Here is a 6,104-nt window from a genome sequence, read left to right on the forward strand (position 1 = left end):
GAACATGCGGTATTTTTATTTGGCTGTGATCCTGAATGTCTTGCTCAGGAGCTTAGTAAACTTGAGTAAGTCACTTCATGTTTTTGGATTTTACTGATCTTATTTGTAAAATGGGGTCATTATTATTAATTGTTAAATGTAATATTCTATACTGTTTTATTTCACATCTCTAATTATCAGTTGCTGGCTGGCACAAGGACTTATATCTTGAGAGCATTGTTGTCTTCTAATATCTCAAGGATAATGTGTATGAACTTAATTGAAATATTAGACATTAGAAAATACAGACAAATTTGAAGATAAAAAATGCACAAGACCCATGATAATTGTAATATCACAGTGTATATTTTCTTCTATATTTTTCTGTAATTATATATCGTATATAATGGTGCATATTTTGAAAATGGCTGTTTTTCACTTATTATAAATTTATTATCAATGAATATTCATCTTATCATTTCTAATAGCTAAGATATCCTATTTTTATATACAGAATATTTTATATACTGCATGTGTATTCATTCCTTTTGCTCCATAAAGACAATGACATTGTCTTGCCTACCTGTGAACCAGACTTCAGTTGGAGGCTGTATAGAGTAATAATTTAGAGTAGTGGGCTTTGAATTCAGATAGATCTTGGCATTATTTCTGGATTTACCACTTATAAGTGTTAACCTCATGAAATGGAGAATGATGAAGTTCATTAATTTGGAAAGGAGAGCTTTACTTCTCATAAACGGTTGTAGCTTGCAGGGTGGCCATTCTAACAGGCTGGGAAGCATAGCTTTGGGCTAGAAGCCAGTAACAGGCACTTTGAGGGAGGGGCAAAGGGAATGTGAATTTATGCTGAATGAAGTGGCCAAATATACATATTTAATAAGCTGCAGGAGGAATTATGAATGTTTATGAAATGAGAAACACGTGCACGCACACTGAGCTTCATGTCACTCTCTGGGTCCCACGTGCAAAAATGGGCAGCGTTAGCATGACCTGAGGGTGGAGTTTTCATCCCTCTGACATCAAAGAGTAAAGCAGAGGACACAAGAACCCTTGCTGCATGTCCTCTGTAGACTGGCAAGAATCACTCCATGGTCAGTGGTCTCTTATTAGGAAGGAGTGCTGGTTGGTTGTGTGGAAACCCCAAAATGGTTGGGTAGCATTAGGTTGTTGGTTGATATCAGTGGTGGAGTCTTTCAAAAGAGTCGATTTCTGTTTAACCCTTAGGGAAGAAAGCCTAATGGTGGTTAGCCAGGGAGGAGGTATAACAAGGCATGTCTGATCTCTCATCCTGTTGTGGCTGGGCATTCAACTTCCAAGGTTTCTCTGGGATTGCCTTTATTTTTATTTATCAATTTATACAGTTTGGATATTTGTCCCCACCCAAATATCATGTTGAATTGTAGTCTTCAGTGCTAGAGGTGGGGCCTGGTGGGAGGTCTTTGAATCATGGGGGTGATCCTCATGGCTTGGTGCTGTCTTTGTGATAGTGAGTTCTTGTGAGATCTGGTCATTTAAAAGTCTGTGGCACCTCCACTCCAACTCTCTCTCTCACTTGCTCCTGCTTTTGCTACATGATGTGCCTGCTACTCTTACGTTCTTCCATAATAGTAAACTTCCTAAGGCCTCCCCAGAAGCTGAGCAGATACCAGCACCATGCTTCCTGTAAAGCCCACAGAACCATGAGCCAATTAAACCTTTTTTCCTTATAAATTACCCAGTCTCGGCTATTTCTTTATAGCAATGCAAGAATTGCTGAACACAGAAAATTGGTACTAAAGAGTGAGGCATTCCTCTAAAGATGTCTGAAAATGTGGAAGCAACTTTGGAACTGGGTAACAGGCAGAGGTTGGAAGAGTTTAGAGGGCTCAGAAGAAGTCAGGAAGATGAGGAAAATTTGCAACTTCTTAGAGAACGGGTTAAATGGTTGTGAACAAAATGCTGATAGTGATATAGATGGTGAACTCCAGGCTGATGAGATCTCAGTCAGCAGTGAGGAACTTATTGGAAACTGCAGCAAAGGTCACACATGTTATACCTTAGCAAATAACTTGGCTGCATTCTGTTCATGCCCTAGGGATCTGTAGAAGTTTGAACTAAAGAGTGATAATGTAGGGTATCTGCTGTAAGAAATTTCTAAGCAGCAAAGTGTTCAAGATATGACCTGGCTGCTTCCAACAACCTATGCTAAAATGTGGGACCTATGCTAAAATGTGGGAGCAAGGAAAAGACCTAAAGATGGAACTTACAGTTAAAAGGGGAGCAGAATGAGTTTGGAAAATTTGCAGCCTGACCACATGGCAGAGAAAGAAAACACCTTTTAGGGAGAGGAATTCGAGGAGGTTGAAAGCAACCACTTGCTGGAGAAATTTGCATAACTAAAAAGGAGCCAAGTGTTAATAGCCAAGACAATTGGAAAAAGACCTCAAAGACATTTCAGAGACTTTTGTGGCAGCTCTGCCATTAGAGGCCTAGGAGGGAAGAATGGTTTTGTGGGCCAGGGCCAGAACCCCACTGCCATGTACAGCCTTGGGACATTGCTCCTCACAATCAGCTGCTCTGGCTCCAGTTGTGGCTCAAAAGGGCCCAGGTACAGCTCAGGTTTCTACTTTGGAGAACGCAAGCTGTAAGCCTTGGTGGCTTTCATGTGATGTTAAGCTTACAGGTGCATAGAATGCAAGAGTGAAGAGTGCTTGGCAGCCTCTGCCTAGATCTCACAGAATGTATGAGAAAACCTAAGTGCCCAGGTAGAAACCTGCTGCAAGGGTAGAGTCAAACAGAAATGTGGAGTTGGGGGCCCCACAAAGAGTCCCCAGTGGGGCATTGCCTAGTGGAGTTATGAGAAGGGGGCCACCATTCTCCAGACCCCAGAATGGTAGATCCACTGGCAGCTTGCTCCCTGTCCCTGGAAAAGCCACAGGAACTAAATAACCTGTGACAGCAGGCTTGGAGGCTGAACCCTCCAAAGCCACAAAAATGGAGCTGCTCAAAGCTATGGGAGTCACCCCCTTCCACCAGTGTGTCCTGGACGTAGGACACAGATCCAAAGGAGATTATTTTGAAGCTTTAAGATTTAATGACTGTTCTGCTGGGTTTTGAACTTGCATGGGGCCTGTAGTCCCTTTCTTTTGGCCAACTTCTCCCTTTTGGAATGTAGAAGTTTACCCAATGCCTATACCTCCATTGTTTCTTGGAAGAAGTAACCAACTTGTTTTGGATTTTACAAGTTGTTAAGTGGAAGGGATTTGCCTTGTCTCAGATGAGACTTTGGACTTTTGAATTAATGCTGAAAGGTGTGAAGACTTTGAAGGACTATTGGGAAGGCATGATTGTATTTTGCAATGTGAGAAAGATATGAGATTTGGGAGGAGCTCCTGGCATAATTGTATTTTGCAACATGATATAAAATTCTAAGCACCCCTAACCATCTGAATAGATCCCTGCTGTTGGGCAAGGGCATCCAAAGTTAACTTGAAAAAACAATTTCAGGTCATGATGAGAAGGGGGAGCCAGACATGCATCATTGTACCCACTTTCCTTTTGGAATTACTGATTGAACAGACTCTTTACGCCTGATAAGAAACATTTACGATCTATTCTCTCTGAAGCTTGCTACCTGGAGGCTTCATCTGAATGATAAAACCTTGGTCTCCATAACCCTTATTGTAACTGAGACATTACTTCCTATTGATAATAATTCTTTTAACCAATTGCCAATCAGAAAATCTTTGAACTTATCTACGACTTGGAAGTTCCCACTTTCTGTTGTCCCTTTCCGGACCAAACCAATGTATATCATACATGTGTTGATTAGTGCTTTATGTCTCCCTAAAATGTATAAAACCAAATTGTGACCCAACCACCTTGGGCACATGTTTTCAAGATCTCCTGAGGGCTGTGTCATGGGCCATTAGTCACTGATATTTTGCTCAGAATAAATCTCTTCTAATATTTTAGAGTTTGACTCTTCACCAACAGTGAGAGGACATGAGATTTGGGAGGGACTAGGGGCAGATATCCAAAATAGTTTGGATATTTGTCCCCGCCCAAATATCGTGTTGAATTGTAATCCCCCATGCTGGTGATGGGGCCTGGTGGGAGGTGTTTTGATCATGGGGACAGATACATCATGGTTTGGTGCTGTCCTCATGATAGCGAGTTCTTAGAGGTCTGGTCATTTAAAAGTGTGTGGCACCCACCCTGTCTCCTTCTTGCTTACTCCTGCTTTCATCCTTTGCCTTCTGCTGCAATCAAAAGCTTCCTGGGCCTCCCCAGAAGCTGAGCAGATGCCAGCACCCTGCTTCCTGGAAAGTTTGCAGAACCATGAGCCAATTAAACCTCCTTTCCTTATAAATTACCCAGTCACAGGAATTTCTTTATAGTGATGTTAAGAATGGCCTATACATCAACCTAAATAAAAAGAGAGAGGTTCTCTAAAAGTACATGATATTTATTTGGGAGTAGGGTATTGCAATGTGAATATACATGCCCTAGTATTCAGGGAAGTAAAAGAAGACAAAGGGTTTTAAAGAAAACATGAGGAGAATTACATAACTGTTTTGAGATAATTATCCTTGGCTACAAGGATTAATAACAAGAGTGACACCAGTCTGAGATTGGACAGTCTGTTACTGGGCAGATGTCCTTGCAGAAGTATTTTTTTGTGTAAAGTTACGGCCTTTGTGCAAGGTTGTGTTTTTTTGCAGGCTTTGTGACAGTTTTTGTTATCAGCCATTTATGCATGAGAATTCTCTTTTCATGGCCTTCCACATTTCTATTTGTCAGGGCTATTTGACACAAATGAATGCATTTTTATTCTGACAACTTTCATATAAGCTATATGATTTTAGAGAATTTACTTACTCCCAGTTTCACCAGCTATATAATATATAATAACTCCAACTTCATAGTGTTGTGAGAATTAAATTATAAAGTATGTAATGTTCTTAGTATAGGGCTCAAACACAGAATAGTTCTGCCTTCACTGGTAAGTATAATGACCATTCATTTATTACTGCAATAACATTTACTGAATAGCTATAGAGTTTCAGTCACTATGACAAATTCATACGCTGAAAAATTCGAATATGGCCTCATCCCTACCTTGAAGAAGCTCTAGATAATTAAAAACACAGTTATAGAACAAGGAGATAAGAGCAGCAAAGTTGAGGGATGCACAGGGAGTGGGGAAGGAGATGGTGCATAGCCTTCCTAGGTGACGTGTCATATCAGGGACACAAGTATCATGCACTTTTAGGCTTGTCTTTACTTCCTCTTTTCCTCATGCAGCAGAAATGTAGTATAACAAAAAACACATTTGGTCTTTGTTCCTGGTTCTGGGAAGAGAGCTTCTAAATCTTTGGAATTTTCTGAGTGGTAAGAGTGTCTTTTGTTACTCATAACAAGCACTTTTTGATTATACTTCAGTTTATGCTAATGAGTGATTTCGGGTGGTGAATCCTAAACAGCCTCTGGATAGGTCTGGCTACCAGAAAGACCAGATGGTTAGAGAGTAGACACTTTCGGCTCCACCCACCAACTTTCAGGAAGGAGAATAGAGCTGGAAATAAAGCTTTATAAAAACTCTTGAATGACAAGCTCTGATGAGTTTCCAGGTTGGTGAACACATGGAGGTGACGGGAGGGTGGGTGATGTGCCCAAAGAAGGCATTGAAGGAAGCCCCATGCACCCCTCCACCTCCATACTTTGCCCCATGCATCTCCCATCTGGCTGTTCCTGAGCTGTATCCTTTATAACAAACCTGTAAAAATAAGTATAAAATGTTTCCTTGGGTTTTGTGAACCATTCTAACAAATAATTGAACCCAAGGAGGGGATGGTAGGAAGCCCCAGTTTATAGTCAGTTGGTCGGAAGTATAGGAGGTCAGGACTTACAACTGGCGTCTGAAGTTGGGGCAGTCTTGTGGAGTGAGCCTTCAGCTTGCAGGATCTGATGCTAACTTAAGGTAGTGTCAAAATTAATTAAATTATTGGACGCCCAGTTGGTATCCAGAGAGTTGGAGAATTTCTTGGTATACATTTGGTGTCTGAAGTGTTGTGTGAATGGAGGAAAAACTTTTTACAGAAGAGGAAATCAATTTCTTCTAG

At 40.9% G+C, this 6,104-nt stretch overlaps 1 annotated feature.

Annotated features, from left to right (window-relative positions):
* Nucleotides 2,003-2,750: an enhancer, noted in NCBI's record as "OCT4-NANOG hESC enhancer chr17:49675964-49676711 (GRCh37/hg19 assembly coordinates)". NCBI's record gives its function as "activates a minimal SCP1, AML or CMV promoter by ChIP-STARR-seq in naive H9 embryonic stem cells {active_cell/tissue: H9 hESC(naive)}" and the evidence as "EXISTENCE:reporter gene assay evidence [ECO:0000049][PMID:30033119]".

This window comes from Homo sapiens, chromosome 17 (genome assembly GCF_000001405.40).
Source record: "Homo sapiens chromosome 17, GRCh38.p14 Primary Assembly".
NCBI lineage: Eukaryota > Metazoa > Chordata > Mammalia > Primates > Hominidae > Homo > Homo sapiens.